This window comes from Homo sapiens, chromosome 20 (assembly GCF_000001405.40).
Source record: "Homo sapiens chromosome 20, GRCh38.p14 Primary Assembly".
Classification (NCBI taxonomy): Eukaryota; Metazoa; Chordata; class Mammalia; order Primates; family Hominidae; genus Homo; species Homo sapiens.
This window is the reverse complement of record NC_000020.11, coordinates 8,848,785-8,866,295: the sequence shown is the minus strand read 5'-3', so window position 1 is coordinate 8,866,295 and position 17,511 is coordinate 8,848,785. Positions and strand designations below refer to the sequence as shown.

The window sequence follows — 17,511 nt, the reverse complement described above, 5'->3', positions numbered from 1 at the left end:
GAAGAGGAAGACACTTTCCTTACCCCCAGGTAAATTTTTGATCCTATTCTTGAATAAAAGGCATCTGCTAGAGAATATTGGACATCTCCCTCTTTTCCCATTTCCTTCTTCGTCACGTAAGTGTGGTGATGTAACTGTGCTAAACACATCGGGTTTGGAATGAAAAGTCAGATAAATTGAATAGCAAGTTGTTTTTATAGAAATCCTCTTTTGTAAGTCTTCTAGCCCAGATCCTTTTGTTAATAGATCCATTTCTCGAAGAGGTCTACAGAGATGACTTGGAATACAAAGTCGTCACTTTACTGATTTTATCTTTAGGGTCTTTGTGAGTAGCAGTCAATTTAGAATAATTCTACATTTAGCAGGTTTGGATTCCAGTATTTTGGTCTACATTGCAGAAAATAAGTCGGTATCCTCAAAATTTGCAGGCACCTGTCCACGGTGTCTGCTGTGCCTGGGTGCAGCTGCCAAATCCAAGGACAATGTTTACAAGTCCTCCCTACCACTTTTTAATCCAGGCATAGCCATTTGAAAAATTCTTGCCAATGAAAAGTTAGGGCAGGGCTTTTTGGGGACATATGGGGAATCTCTACTATTTCTTTCCCCTTTCCAGCAAGATCCTAGGGGATGATGGAGCCACATTATGAAAGGAACCTGGTTCTCTGAATTGCCATGATGAGATAAACTGTTCATCAACTGGAAACTCTTATGTTGGACTATTGTACAAAAAAGAAATAAAATTCTATTGTATGAAGCCATTGATATTTTGGTACTGTTTGTCACAGCAGCCAGTATTATGCTAACCAATACATTCTCACATACATATTTTGTGTTGCATGATTTATTTTGAGGTCAGGGGAATGATGAATATACATGCAGATATGAGTGTTTCTCTTATTTATGATTAATCTTTATTAGCCAATGTTTATGCCATAAGGATGGCCTCTTAAATTTCTGGGGGCCTTTTTGGTTATTCTGAAGTTAAAGTAGAATTAGAGAATAATCCTAACTATAAATCTTGAGTACTTTATAACTACCTTATAACTATGAGAAAGAAAGAGCTAGTGTTATAAAGCCCAGGGGAACTTTTACTTTCCATCAATGTTTATCTCTTTCTCCTCTACAAGGAAAGTGCAAGGATGAAAAAAAACTCCCTTTTCTTCCATTGTTATCACTGGATTAAGGTATATACAGAATCTATGGCCGCAGTGAAGTTACTCTTATAAGGACAGGAACCGGTGACTTCAATTCAGTACAATTGCAAATTAGTTTTAAAACACTATTCGTTTTTCTTCTGCTTAGATTCACAAGGCAGAGCTGGTCTGCTAAATCTTACTTTCTCCTTCCATCTTCCCATCAGATAACCATATCCTGACATATATAATTCTGGCGCTGCTTCCCAAAACTTGGGGGTTTCTTCAGAACACTCAACCTAGGAGATTAAAAGCCATTCTGATGCATCATAGGCATCCTTACTTACACAAGGGTAAATGGCTTTAGAGAAAACTACAGCTAATCTTACCAGTGACAGGAAAAATCTTCTAGGTTCTAGTTCTAACAAGCCTGTTCTAGTTCTTGGTTGACATGTCAGCCAGAGAGCCATCCTAATTCCAAATCATGGGAACATACTGCAATACTTGGAATACTGAATTGAATGGCCAATACCACTGATTCATGGCTCATTCTCTATTTACATCTACTCGCTTTTTGTGGCCTCCTCTCCCTCACACATTCATTGATTTATTCATTCATGTGTCCAAAAATTTATCAAGTGTACTTCTGCAAACCTAGCACTGTGACAGGTGCTAGGCAGAGACATGAGTGAGACACAGCCCTGGCTTCAGGAAGTCCCAAGACTAGTAGGAGAATGTGAAACATAAAATAATAAGGTGTTATGCTGAGATATGTAAAATTATATGCAACATACATGGTATACTGCAATATACATGGGAAAATTATATGCAACATACAAATGTAACACAAAGGAGGGAGTGACTACCTCTCCTTGGCATCACAGAATAGAAATCATCTAAGACCAGAAGAGCTGGATATTACTGAATGCCAGTCTTTTTGCACATTTGTCCAGGCGACTGCCACTTAACTTCATCAAAGGCCTACCACATCATTTCCCCCTTTCTCTTTGCAGCACTTCAAATCAAATTTTAAAATAACTAAAAGAGGAAAAATAATAAGAACTCTGAATTGTTTTTTGAAAACTGAAATATTTTGTCTAATTGTATGCCAAGAAAAATAAAACATTCTGAAAATTGAAGATATCTCTTGATACATCAGTGATGAATAAGAAAAGATAATCATGTGCATAATTTTTCATAGTGCTATGTAAAATGCCACTCAGAAACCCTACCAACTTAATCTTTACCTATGAGTTCTTGCTATGAATGACCATCTTTCAGTATATGTTAATAAAAAAATGATTATAAGTATAATAGGGTTTTCAACTCTGGATAGAAGATTCCAACTTTGTGTGGTTTGCCTTCTTCAGAGGTAGAAAAAACTTCCTTTGCTTAACTCTTCCAGTTAGAAGTAGATTGAAAATCAAGGCCTCTTAACATTTTCTTTATCTGAAGAATATAATGTACTTCTTTTGGTTATAATGGTAAAATACAAAACTGATTAGGGCAGGAGCAAGTACGGTGTGTGAGGTTATACAGAGCAGAAGCTCCCAAATTGAGGTCTCCCGAACAGCAGCATCAGCTTCATCTGGGATCTTGTTAGAAACACATGTTCTCAGGCTCACCCTAAACTTACTAAGTCGGAAGCTTTGGGGGTGGGAGCCCAGTCATCTGTGTTTTATTGTCTCCTACCTGATTCTGATGAATCCCAAAGTGTGAGAACTATTGATTTAGAGCTTGAAGAAGGCTTGCAGGTGATTCTCATTTACATGAATTGTTGAGGATCATTCATGTATTTAATGGCTAAGTCTTGCCAAAAAAGTAGTGTCAGTTTGGAAAATATTTTCTAAACCCAAACATACTTGATTATTGTCAGATGCAGGTGTGGGTTTAATGCCACTGAAATTTGAATTATGGAGACTCTAGCATTATAATCTTGGCGAACTTCTCATCCAATTTGAAGCTAATGATTGTTAGTGCCCAGTTTATAGCTCTTTGGCCTAACCATTGTCATGCAGACTGTCCTAATTCCAACAGCTTGCTTTCTCTTGCAGGGTGCAAAAACGGCTGAAACTGCCTGCTCAGTTGGTGTATATAGACTCCAGCTCCCTCACCCTTTGCAAGAAATAACTCTAAGGTGCATAGTCTACATGGTTTCCCAGAATTCCATGCTGGGCTTGATCACCAGTTGCCCACATTTGTAACTTGTCTGAGAAAAGCCACACTTTTAATTGCTACCCTCCCTTTCCTGCTTCACTTCTCTACTTCCCTGCTGGTTTCCTGGGACCACTGCTCAGAAACACTATTATACTCAAATCCTCATCTCAGGATTTGTTTCTGGGGGAACCCAAATGAAGACCTTAGCTTAGTCCTTAGTTTGAATTTATTGGCTGGCATATATTGAGTGGACACATTGCAGGGTTTTCTTGTAGTTTTGGATTAATGTGCCCTAGTCCTTGATGCATGCTGACCTTATTTGACTTGTTTATGAAATGTTTGGGCTGGAGATCTATCATAAATTACCCAGTAACTATGTTTAGATTTAAAAAAATCAATTTCTTTCTGAGTCTAAATAGTTCTACCTGGACTTGAAGTGATTATATTCAAGCAGCAATCCAAGTAAGTTTGAATATATTTTGGTCCCTGACTCTAACCATAGCCAATTAGATTCCTGTTACATTATATGTGATCACTCAGGTTAAGGTCTATAGACCTAACCTGCTATGAAGCTATTTCCAAACGGAGAAGAGAAATTGATGTACAGGAGAAAAGACAGGCTGCGAATAAAATGTGCCCAGCATAGTGATGATACACATTCATTTTCCGCTTCATCCAGCAGCATATGGAATAGACGGATAAACTAAAATGCCAGTTGGTCCTGGTGTTTTTGTTACATAACATTTCAAGTGAAAGAACAGGTTGTCAAGAAAAATTATGCTGAAATTTAAATAAATAAATCATGCATGACATAGTGAGTATATTCAAAAGCAGTTTATCCCATCAAAACAAGACTAAATGTATTCTACAAGAGGAAATATATTACTGTGCTGTATTCAGTAGCAGAAATATAAATAGTATCCTTAAGAAAATAGCTTTTGCATTAAAATAATAATTAAATAATAACATAATGCCAGTCTATTTTTAAAGGAAATACAATTTTAAAGAAAAGTCTTCTGCATTAAAATAAATATCTAATATCCAGTTGTCCCAATGTATGTTTTCAATGTTTTCCAATAAGTCAAGTTAATCAAGTTCCAATAAATCAATGTACATTTTCATTGTTTTTCCAATAAATCAATGTTTCCCAGTAAATCAAGTTAATTAAATTGTTTCCATCAGCCTGCCTTTTTAATTTTATTTAAGTTCTAGATTTTTATAAAGATGGGGTTTTGCTACATTGCCCAAGTTGATCTCTTTTTTTTTTTTTTTTTTTTGAGGTAGAGTCTCACTCTGTCACCAGGCTGGAGTGCAGTGGCACGATCTCACCTCACTGCAAGCTCCGCCTCCCGGGTTCAAGCGATTCTCCTGCCTCAGCCGCCCGAGTAGCTGGGACTACAGGCGCGCGCCACCATGCCCAGCTAATTTTTGTATTTTTAGTAGAGACGGGGTTTCACCATGTTGGCCAAGATGGTCTCAATCTCTTGACCTCGTGATCCACCTGCCTTGGCCTTCCAAAGTGCTGGGATTACAGGCGTGAGCCTCTCAAAGTGCTGGGATTACAGGCATGAGCCATGATGCCTGGGCTAGCCTGCCTTTTAACCAAATGTTTTATCTCAAAGAAAATGACTGAACTCACCAACTAATGACTTATCCTTTGTTCTGTCCCAAACAAACATAATAAGTGTATGATTCTTTACTAACATTTCCTGTGCCTTGATCACATATCATTAATACAAACACACAAGTTAAACTTGTTTGCTTTATACAAGTATGTTTGCATTTCCTACTTGGGATACAAATACAACCAACATTTTTTAAGTAGAAACGCCACTTATCAAGACATATAACCTGATTAAAAACATAGCCTTTTAGATTAAAATATAATCAGAAAGAAAACTGGTGATTTGGTTTTCCCTCACCTTTGCTCACCCATTAATTTCTATTCACCTTCTTCTTCCACTACCCTAAAATATGTATATTTATTTAATAAATCAGTAACCAACTTCTTTGGAAAATGTCCAACAGAATAAAATTGCAATATTTGTCTGTCAAATCAAACATGGACATGATGATGGTATTGATACCTCTAAGAAAGTTGTGTCCACCATGATGTCACAACACTGAGTTGAAAGTCAAAAAACTGATTGAAATTACTTAGTTTCAAATCAAAACTAGTTTGAAAACTAATTAATGATTGTTCTGTCAGTATATGAACTCTTCCCTGTGAGTCTTCTTTAGACATCAGGGAGCTCATAATTCAAGAAACACATGAGAATGCACTGACATTATACTAATTTCTCAAAGAGGAATAGATCTGAAGATGTCTCTCCTGATTCAGCCAGCCTGAGTCCCTGTGGAGATGAATGGATTACTTTAATTAATCAGTGAAATAACTAATGAATATTTATTGGGGACCTACTAATGTAAACAAATGGCTCTGTGGTATTTGGTTTGGGGAGTCTTGAACAGTATAAAACTGTTACCTCTTAAAGGTTAGAAACTGAAAATAAAATTAGTGAGCCAAGGCAAAGTTAAATAATAACACGAGCTAGTCATATAAGGTGAAATGCCAAATCAGTGATATGCACAGTGTTTTGAATTCAGGAACTGTGAATCACTGTGGTAGGACTTGTCTCTGAGTTAATCTATAAAACCAAAGCTTCAAGTTACACCATATGGAAATGAACTTATTGCCAGTGTCTTAAGCACAAAGCTTTTCTTCAGTAGGCCCTTGGGAGCTATTCTGTAATAGTTATCAAATAACAATGACTACTACTATAAATATTTATTGAGCATTTACTATATCCTGGCACTAGGTTAAATGATTAGCAGGGATTATCTGCAAGGATTACCTCTGTGAATTCTCCCATTATTCGCTGGAGTAAATATTATGAGCATTTTATGGTTAAGCAACACAGCTGGTAAATGATGAAGTCAGAATTCAAACTCAGTTATTCTGACTCCACAGTCTCCAATTACTTATAATAATCTCTTCTCCTATCAGGCTTTAACAAAAAGCCCACATATTTATATTCTCTCAATGACTCCCTAGAATGGAAAGTTAGTGGAAGCTTTTATATACAATAAAGAAAGAATAAAGGCAAGATTAATATGTATTATCATGGTAGGTAGAGTGGAGAAAAGTATATTATGTCTTTTTTTTTTCTTCCCTCTCCTACTCCCACTGTATTTTCCAGGTTTCACCACATTCTAGAAAACATTTATTCAGTTGAATAACCCATCACCTTTGAAGACATTTAACTTGCTCCAATAGACCCCAAGCTAGAGTCTACCCTGTGGAAAAGACTTCAACAAGAAATACCTGAGCAACATTTCAGAATTAGAAGGAGATCCTTAAAACATCCAGAAAGATTGAAAAAATAGCCAGCTTTCTTGAATTACTAGAAGACTGAAGTTAAAAAAAAAACCAAAAGGTTTTCAAAAGCTAACCATGATGCCATCTCTAGAAGGAAAAGTTATTCAATTCAGCTGTGCGGGAGAGCAGAACTTTAGAAAGCCTTGCTACTCAAAGTGTGGTCCTAGGACCAGTAGTATCACTTCAGGCCCACTCCAGATCTACTGAATGAGAATTTGCATATTAACAAGATCCACAGGTAATCCACATACACATCACATTTTTGGAAACATGAGTTTAAAGGTAATTGTTATGATTTTCTTAATGTGGATTTGAAGCTGAAAGTGTTTAGACTGAACTATTTGGAACAATGTTCTATTTGTGAGCAGATGTTATTTATAAATATTCTGGATTCGGTGCTTCTTTATTAATTAAAGTTCTTGAGCCAATCAAGAACAAGCTAACTCTTCCTAAGTGCTGGCCTTAGAAGTAGATGAACCAATTAAGAATCAGTCCCTACTTCCAAAGCGGAAACCTTGAGGAAGAGGGACCAGCAAAGAGGTAGCAGGCCACCAACCTCAGGGCTTCTGAGTTGGAAGTGTGTTGCCCAGTTTCCTTGCCCAGGTGGCAATCTGAGAGATTATCTTATCCCTCCAAACAAGAGGTATGTCAGGAGGCTAAAGAGGAACTATCTGTCCCACTTCCACTACTCTAATTTTTTTTTTTTTTTTTTTTGCACACTCAAATTGCCAGAGTTTGAGAACACTACCCTAAGAACAAGAGTTGGGAAAAAGGGAATGGCCTTCTTTGTCTACTGAACCCCTTTTTAAAACAAGATCCTATTTTAAGAGCCTAGCATTAGGGTATGTTCAGTTCATCTGGTCACCTCTAAGTAAGTGAGCAAGGAAGACTTGTGAGCTGTTTACACTGTTGAAATATTCCTATGACCCTATCTCCCTTTAGGACTCGAAGCTATGAAAACAAGCCATGTGAAGGTCAGTGCTGTAGTCCATTGAACCCATCAGTGGAAGTGACCCCAGTGGAATCATACAATCTCTGCACACTCACACTGTAGAGAGCCTACATCTTGGAAAAGGTCCAAGACTCCCCGAGGGATCTCACTTGGACTGCTGCAGCCTTATGCCATTTAGATTTGAATGATTTTTGTGTTATTCTAGCCAGGGCCATCCCTGTCCTATCATTGGAATTTAAACATTTCCATTACTACACAACATCAGGGTCTACTGCCAAAAGAAAATGTTCTTTGAAATTATTCTTGTAACTTGTCAGAACAATTTAGATTTCCTGAGTTTGTGATATTTAGATGCTATTACTGAGGACAAGTCCATACCTAAATATTTCATAATGAACACAGGAGCCGCATTACCAAAACTGCTTGTAACAAGAGCAGGCCGTGGTGTGTGTGTGTGAGTGCAAATGAAACAGTATTTAGTTTATGTTTTGACTGCTAAACCTTTAATCTATTTCAGATCCTGGGGTAGTTAAGGATTGGCTAAATAGGCCTCAAGTAAAGCTAACAATAAAAATTAAATAAAAATTTAATTCAAATACTTAAAATTATGAAACTTATTCAAATGACACCCTCAATAAGGTGAGAAGCAAGTGATAAACTGGGCAAATATTTTCACAACAAACACATCTGACAAAAGAATAGTATTGAGAATATATAAAGAATTGTTATGAAGTAATGAGAAGACCAATCACTCAATTGAAAAAAATTACCAAAAGATACAAAGAGGCATTTTGCTTAAGAAGGAACATGTGGCTAAAGGCAAAACAAAAACAAACTAAATAGAAGGGATGGTCAGTTTCTTCACTGATCAGAAAAAGGCAGATCTAGACCACATTGAGATATCATTTCATACTCATCTTAGTAGGAAATATTAGGAAGTCTGACGTTAATATCAACTATTGGCAAGTGTCAGGGTAATACAGTCTTTCATATATTGCTGAAGAAAGTGTAAAGTGGTATAGTTACTTCAGAAGACAATTTAGCATCATCATGTAAAATGGAAGATTCATATTCCCTATGGCCCAGTAATTCCACAGTTTGGTATACAACCAAGAAAACTTCTGGTACAGAGTTTGCATACTAGGAGATATGAGATGGCATGTTCACAGCAGATCTGCTTAAAACAGCAATCAACTGGACATCACTAAATGCAAACTGACAGTAGAATGGATAAGTGCGATACATTCATGGAATAGAATAAGTCAAAATAAACTATAGCAACATTTAACAATATAGATACCTTATACTTAGATATACTTTATTTAAATTTTTTTCATTAGTACACAGAGAGAAGTTCACATAAGAGAAGTGTGGTAGATTGAGTTTTCAAAAACCCACCATTCTTCACTCCTCTTTTGTGACTTGTTTTGTCAATAGGATATGACAAAAGTGATACTGTTGCAGTGCTGAGTTGTTCTCAAAGGGCCACATGTGCCTCTACTCTTGCTATTGAAACCCTGCCACCAGCAAGTGAACAAGCCTGGGCGTGTCTGTTCACAGATTAGAGACTAAGTGGAGAGATCCGGTCGTTCTAGCAGAGGCCATATTAGACCAACCTACATCCAAGTGACCCTCAAACATGAAAGCGGGTCCAACCAGTATCACCAGCAGAGCTGTCCACCTCATGCTCAGTTGACTCCAGACACATAAGTGAGAACAACTAAGACCAGGAGAACTTCCCAGCTCACCAGCTTGTGGATAATAATAAATGCTTATTGTTTTAGGCCCCTGAGTTTTGTGGTGGAATTTGTTATACAGCAATAGCTAACTGATACAACAAATTCATGGACTTAGGATTTTCTTCCACAAAGTGAACACACCCATTTAACCAGCACTCAGATCAATACCAGCACTCCATAAGACCTCTACCTGCCACCTTCCAATCACTAGCCATCCTGTCCCCTACCCAAGATAGCATATTTTCTAACTCTTCATATACACTGAATAATAATGTATATACTTTTTTGTGTCTGGCTCTTTTTATTTATTTATTTTTTTGAGACACAGTCTTGCTCTGTTGCCCAGGCTGGAGTGCAGTGGTGTGATCTCGGCTCACTGTAAACTCCACCTCCCTGGCTGAAGCAATTCTCATGCCTCAGCCTCCCCAGTAGCTGGGAACTACAGGCGTGTGCCCCCACGCCCAGCTAATTTTTGTATTTTTAGTATAGACAGGGTTTTATCATGTTGGCCAGGCTGGTCTCGAACTCCTGGCCTCAAGTGATTCACCAGCCTCAGCCTCCCAAAGTAAGCAACATATTTTTAAGTGAAAAATTGTAGGCTCCCCCAAATTTTATACAGTATAGGTTCAGTATGGTCCTTTAACTTACATTATCATATTTCAATATGATACTCCATATGATACCATTTTTATGAAGTTAAAACAACTAAGATAAAAAAATAAAGTGTTATAGGAATACATATGCATGATATATATGCACATGTATATCTATAACCATGTAAATATAAAAAACAGGAATATATACATGCACACGTTTCAGATTCATTGTTACCTTGAAGGGCAGAGGGTGGAGAATGAAAGGCCAGGGTACCAGAGGGGGAGAAACCAGTATTGTAGTTTTTGTGGTGTATATGGGTGTGTATTATATTATAAATACAGTAATATGGTCTTGCATGGACCAATGAGAAGGAGGTTGTTCATCCAATTTTCAAAATGTGTGTGTAGAGCTACCTAAATAAAGTAGGAGAACAGAAGGGAAGAAAGGGTTCTAAAAAATAACCAGTCTGTGGCAAATTTTACATCTGAGAAGACCAAAAAGACTGAAGACCACAAAATTTAAGTGACTTGGCCAGAAGTCATTCAGATATTCTTATGACATGAATTTGATATGAAGAAAATACATTTTAAAGGTAGTTTTCCCCCCTTATGGTTTATGGTTGAAGCAGATTCTATTTTCTTACAAATGCTGTGTTCTGATATTTAAAATGTTGTCTGGCATCATTAGGTCTCAATCCCTTCTTAGAACAAAATGTTCCTGCTCTCTCCCATTTGAAGAGTATTCTTTCTTCAGATGAGTTTTCTAAACTTTCCTATTAAACTTGCTGGAATGTGAATGGGGAAATTAGAAAGATTTTTGTTTTTTTGTGTGTCAGTGAGGTGATTCATCACAGCACATTTCTTAGAATTTGGAGGGAATCCTGGGTCTGGGAGTGCTGGTGACTTGGAACAGGTTCTGCTGCAGCTGGGTGAACTTGGTCTTTGTAGACTTCTCTCTCAAGTTTATCTCAAGAGGGGGATTTGACCAAAGAGTTAGAATGGAAATAATGGCATTCTTCTCCCATTTCTTATTTCTGACCTAACAGCACAACTCAAAATATACTCAGGTGTTCTTTTATCTTGTGAGATAACTCCCTAGAATTGGTGGGAGTGAGTGGGGGGGGAAGAATCTGCTCTCCCCTGCACCCCTTACCCCATTTCTGAAATGTCTGAATCTTTCTTCCTTCCAATCATATGCTCAAGAATATCAAAAAGAGAAAGATTTCCAAGTCAGTTCTACATTTTGATCACATCCCCCTATTAATCATATGTTTTTGCTACCATCTGCAACAGAGAGAAATTTTAAATTCATTGTGCATACATCGTTTAAAATTTCCCCTCTCCGTTATGTTATTTAAACTTTTCCTACATATCAATTAGTTTGAAATAATAAGTCTTTAGGCTATCCATTAATTGCTGTACTGTAGACATGATCTGTATTTAAAATTATGCAAGGAAAATTAAGCTGAAGCACGAAGGAGTCTTGGCTAACGGTGAAGGCTTCTTAGCCCTTCAGAGCAAGAACTGAGATAACGAGGACAGGAAATACACAGGAGGCTCCTTGCCGAGTTTGTCGTTCGCCAGCGTGGAGACGTGAAAACAGACTGCTCCAGCTGTGGGCTCTTCCTCGCTTTTCAGTTTTCCTTTTGAATTCTTACTGTATTTGGTCATGCCGAGGCAGAAGAAAACGATTGTCAGCCAAAGGTCCTTTTCCAGTAGAAATTTATTATAAATAGTTTAACAGCAACTTGGCTTCGTAATTAATTTCCCTACTCCCCTCCCCTTGCAAAAAACAACACATCTCCATTCTGTAATCTTGATTAAGTTTGTGGCAGGTAGAAGGGCCTGGACCCGGGAGAAGAGGAGAAAAAGGAGAGGTGTTGGGGCTGGTAGCCTTACTCATTAGTGCCTTGATTTTAGTAAACACCATGGTGTTATTGGAAGAAATATTACTTAGAATGAAGAAGAAATCACAGAACTCTCTGTTGCTTGTTCAGAGCCCCTGAGGCCTGGGACCTCTGCAAGATTCTCGGCTTCCTAATAACCAAGGCTCTAGGCAGTGCTAAAAAAAAATGCCCTCTGAGATCTGTCTGCCTGATCTAGTCCCACCCTGTTGGGTGGTAGTTTCAGCAACTGAGGACTGTGCAATTGAGTTTTGCACACTGGAAAAAGAAAGATGGAACGAGTGTTAGAAAGTGGCTCATGGGTGACATTTTTCAGATCTTCCCTACCCAGGAAAGTTTAAGTTTATGGATGTTTATTTTGCCTTTGTGAGCTCTTCCTTTTTTCCCTCTGGCTTCTTGTTTTTGCCTCATGATTAATCATTTTGACTGCAGATCTGGCAATGTCAAGCATTGTGGGGCTCCTCTTGCCCTCTAGTGGTGAAATAGTAAAGTACAGCACTCGAAATACCATATGCCCATTACGAGTAAATGGTTAGAGCTTGGGAGAACAGCGCTTCTTTGTTGAATAACGCTTTGAAGCTTACACACACAATCACATAAAATGCCTCAGCACAGGGGACTGTGGAAGGAGAAGAAAGCGTCTTATTCTGAGTGTCATCATTTAGGAGACTCACACAAAAGTAAGAGAATCTTTCTAGGGAAATGTTCTCTTTTCTTTGCTTGAACTGAAGTTGCAATTTAGAGGCAGTTACCCTTAACCCTGGCATTTTTTTTCCCCCAGTACAAGTGTTCATAGAAGCACCACATGTAATAGGCAAAAGCTGGAAACAACCTAAATGTCCATCAACAGTGGAATGGGTAAATGAAGTGTGGTGTATTCACATACTTTATAGCAATTTTTAAAAACCCGACTACAGCTATCTACAACAACAAAAAAAGAAGCCAGATGCAAAGAACTATAGACTGTATGACTGTTTATATAAAGTTGCAAAACAGAAAAACTAATCTCTGTGTTGACTGACATCAGAATAGCTGTTACTTCCGGATGGAGGTAGTACTGACTGGGTTGGAGCACGAGGGAAGTTTCTGGGGTGTTGATAATGTTCTGTATCTTGACACAAGTGGTAATTTCATAAATTCTGTAAAAATTTGTCAAGCTGCATACTTTTTATCTGGGCATTTAATTTTTTCCTGAGGCTATCTTATATGGACTAATAACCTACTTTATTTTATTTATATAACTAATTGTCATGAGCATACTATTGGATTTATTTCCTTATGTGCCCAAAGTTCCTTTGATAAATACTTTTTTTAAATTTTGTGATAAGCCATTTTTCAGAAAATTCAATATGCACATGTTTTCATATCATCTGTAAATTCATGCATTCTGTGGAAGTTGTTTTTAGAGATGCTTCCACTTTCCAGGTGGTGACACTCACCTGACCTGCCTGACACTCATGTCCCCAATGGATATGGGGGCTGCCACACTGTAAACTGACATAATGTAACTTCTGGCCACCACTCAGGGGCAGTAACAAAATCAGAGGTCACTTCATGACACCTGGAGCCAGCCAGGGGCTATTGGATGTGATCATTCTGGTATACTGTGCTTCTGTTACCTGTAGGATCTAGCATTGGTGAGGTAAGATGGTTGGTAAATATTATAAGAAAACAATAAACATTACAAACCGGGAAAGAGTTGAGAAAATTGGAGAGCAAACTATGCTTTTGGAGATTTGTGGGGGCCTCTGGCACTTTCCAATCTTAGGATGTAAAAGTGAGCCTTCTCACACTAAGCCAATTAATCCAAGAAGTGAGTGCCTCCTTATTCACTGTGTGCCCCTTGTCTGTAACTGACCCTCTACTGATGTGGCTTCTGTGGACAAAGGAAAGGTTAGAAGAGCAGATTTCCCAGGACCACAGGCCCATCTTAAGGAGGCTGGGATATGGCTAGTGGGAGTTCTGCCTTCCTCCACTTCTTGGGACAGAGGCCCTGATGTCAGTCCTGGAATATCAGGAATAAGGTAACTCAGAGTAGTTTCTGTCATTAGACTCAGACTGGATTGGACAGAATTGGTTTTGCTCAACTCTGTCCTGGAGGATTGTTTTGTGGTTGATGAAAAGGAACACTTTGTAACACAGCAATTTTCTTAGGTTCTTCAATTAGGAGTTAGAAAAATGATGGATCTTTCTTTTGGGAGACCAGCAAAAAGATATTCGCTAATGTCAGTAGGTACAATTTAGAAATGACACTTAGTAACCCCAGATGTGGCTGAAATGACAGAATAATTAGGAGGCAGAGATAAAACCTGGCAGCAGGAATGAACTGAGACAGCAGCCTATTTTGCAACTTTATATAAACAGTCATACAGTCTATAGTTCTTTGCATCTGGCTTCTTTTTTTGTTGTTGTAGATAGCTGTAGTCGGGTTTTTAAAAATTGCTATAAAGTATGTGAATACACCACACTTCATTTACCCATGCCACTGTTGATGGACATTTAGGTTGTTTCCAGTTTTTGCCTGTTACATGTGGTGCTTCTATGAACACTTGTACTGGGGGAAAAAGATGCCAGGGTTAAGGGTAACTGCCTCTAAATTGCAACTTCAGTTCAAGCAAAGAAAAGAGAACATTTCCCTAGAAAGATTCTCTTACTTTTGTGTGAGTCTCCTAAATGATGACACTCAGAATGAAAAAAAATGAAAAAAATGAAAAAAAAAAAAACCAAAAAAAGAAATGGAGATGGAAGCACAGGGCTGATGACTTCTGATGGATAGCAGCAGCTGGGGTGACTATGGCAGACATCACTAATCAATCTTAGTGGTACTTCCAGGCCATCTAGATAGCCTTGGAATCCTTATCAACAAAAAGTCCCAGGCATCTGCTACCATATGATGGAGTTGGCATGCAAAAAGTAACCCACTACCATACAGGATAAGGCACTTCGAACTGAAAGTTGAGTAGACACTCAGGGTTATTTTGCAGCCCAGTATAAATCTTCAAGCAATGACTACCTCCTAGGCTACTGTGGCCTGTTGAAGCAAGTTTATATAAGCAAACACATATATCATAAATTGCTAGGGACCTTGAATAACAGGAAATTAGCAGTTATTAAATGCAAATGACTTTAGGAGGAAGAGAGGTAAAGAAAAAGAGTGAAAAGCACTGGTGGTAGTCAGTGGTGGTATGTGAGTATAAGGTAACAAACAGTGATGGTGACTGTGGCTAAAGGGAGCACACAAGGTCATCTAATCGGGGATTCCACTCCTCAGATCCAGCTAATTGCTGCCAAGTCCATTGGAACATGGCCCCAGTGAGCCAGGTCTTTGAATATTTCAATTAAAGCAAGGAAACATTTTTAAAGGATATCTCCTTATTTTTAAAGTTGGCATCCTGTTCAACAAGAAGATGAAAGAACACTAAGAAAAAAACATTATAACAATGTGTGAGTACAATAAACCATGTTTGTGGATTATTCAGCCAGGTTACTGGTTGCGATCTCTGGCTTAAAGATTTTGGTTGGAATAGGAGCATCAGAGACAGGCTTCTGAAATAGGCTGCTGTCTCGGTTCATTCCTGCTGCTATAACATAATATCTTAGACCAGGTAATTTATAATTAATAGAAATTTATTTCTCACAGTTCTGGAGGCTGGGAATTCCAAGACCATGGCACCAGAAGATTTGGCGTCTGGTGAGGGCTCATCTCCTGCATCCAAGATGATACCTTTTTGCTGTGTCCTCACATGGCAGAAGGGCAAAAAGAGCAAAGCAGGCTCCCTCAAGCCCTTTTATAAGGGCACTATCCCCATTCATGGAGGTAAGGCCCTCATGACCTAAACCTCGTAAAGTCCTCACTTAATACTGTTTTACTAGGGATTAAATTTCAGCATGAATTTTGAAGGGACACATATATTCAAACCATAGCAACTTTATTCCTATTTTTTCGGATGTTAGAATGAAAAATCACCAGTCAACTGCCTTGGGAAGTTTAGCCTTTTATCTTTTCCTAACCCAGTAAAGGGAGCCTGGTCTGCTTTCTCAGGAATGTTTGACTCTGGATGTTCCTCTTCATCCATAATTCATGAGCACTATTGGTGCTACTACCTACATTTATACAGCGTCTTACATGCATGAACACACTGCCTGGCTCTGGAAGCACGATTAGAAAATGTTGTGCCTGTGGGTATTTTTGAGCATTTTAGTTTGCCCAAAAGCTGAAGAGTGTCTGCTCTGGCTATGACAGACATTAATATTCACAGTGGCATCTCCTTTGCTCAAGAAAAAAGAAATCTGCTGGGAGTCACACAGCTCTAAATTGAAATCTGTGCACATTTACACTTACGTGTTTTAAAGAGCTGGTTTAGAGTAGTGGTTTAGAGCACATGAGTTCTAGGGCCGGGCTGCTTCGTTCTTTTTTTTATTTTTAGACGGAGTCTTGCTCTGTCGCCAGGCTGGAGTGCAGTGGCGTGATCTCGGCTCACTGCAACCTCCGCCTCCTGGGTTCAAGCAATTCTCCTGCCTCAGCCTCCCAAGTAGCTGGGACTACAGGCCTGCACCAGCATGCCCAGCTAATTTTTGTATTTTTAGTAGATATGAGGTTTCACCATGTTGGCCAGGATGGTCTCGATCTCTTGACCTCGTGATCCGCCCACCTTGGCCTCCCAAAGTGCTGGGATTACAGGCATGAGCCATCGCGCTCAGCCCTGCTTGGTTCTTTTTTTTATATTTTCTTTTAATTTTTAATTTAATTTTATTTTATTGAGATGGAGTCTTGTTCTGTCACCCAGGCTGGAGTGCAGTGGCATGATCTCGGCTCAACGCAACCTCCACCTCCTAGATTCAAGCGATTCTCCAGCCTCAGCCTCCCACATAGCTGGGACTACAGGCGCACACCATCATGCCCTACTAATTTTTGTGTTTTTAGTAGAGATGGGGTTTTGCCATGTTGGCCAGGCTAGTCTCGAACTCCTGACCTCAGGTGATCTGCCTGCCTCGGCCTCCCAAAGTGCTGGGATTACAGGTGTGAGCCACCGCACCCGGCCCTGCTTGGTTCTTAACTCTGTCAGTGAATAGTTGTATGAGCTTGAGCCAGTGGCCAGTCTGCATCTCAGTTTCCTTACATAAAATGATAATGATGGAGCTGACATCATAGATATTGTGGATGATTACAGAAGACAGCTCAGTGCTTGGGTAGGTAGTAAGAACTCAATATCAAGATTTTGAATAATCTCTCATTAGTCAAAAAATGGGAAGCAGTGCCCACTTGAGTGTTTGGCTTCTCTTTTATTTCTACGACCACATATAACTATAGCATTTTAGCAGAAAGAGCTTTGAGAAGCAGAGGGTGCAGTCAGCCTAAATTTCCCTCTCTTGTTCTGAAAGCCTGCAGCCATTCTCTCCCAGGACAAACTGTTTACAGATTCTAAGTGTTTGGCTTCCAAGCCCCCAAAATGCAATCCATTTAGAAAAGCATGAAAAATTCCTCTTTTGAAATTCCAAGTGTGGCTCCCAAGCTCTGACTAGTACTAAGAAATGTTAGGCAGCAGAGAGAAAAGAGGGGAAGCTATTCTTCTTTAGCTCTGATCCTTCTGCAGAGTTTGTCTTTCTAAGTGCACCCTGTGGACAACTGACATCAGAATCACTGGGGGGAA

At 38.8% G+C, this 17,511-nt stretch overlaps 1 protein-coding gene across 2 annotated transcripts in view, besides 1 other annotated feature; it reads right to left on the bottom strand.

Moving 5' to 3' along the window:
• PLCB1 (phospholipase C beta 1) overlaps positions 1–17,511 on the bottom strand; it is a 752,635-nt gene that overhangs the window by 18,605 nt on the left and 716,519 nt on the right. The window lies entirely within an intron of this gene.
• Positions 7,500–7,794: a silencer, noted in NCBI's record as "tiled region #2883; K562 Repressive non-DNase unmatched - State 24:Quies". NCBI's record gives its function as "represses a minimal TATA promoter and a strong SV40 promoter by Sharpr-MPRA in K562 cells {active_cell/tissue: K562}" and the evidence as "EXISTENCE:reporter gene assay evidence [ECO:0000049][PMID:27701403]".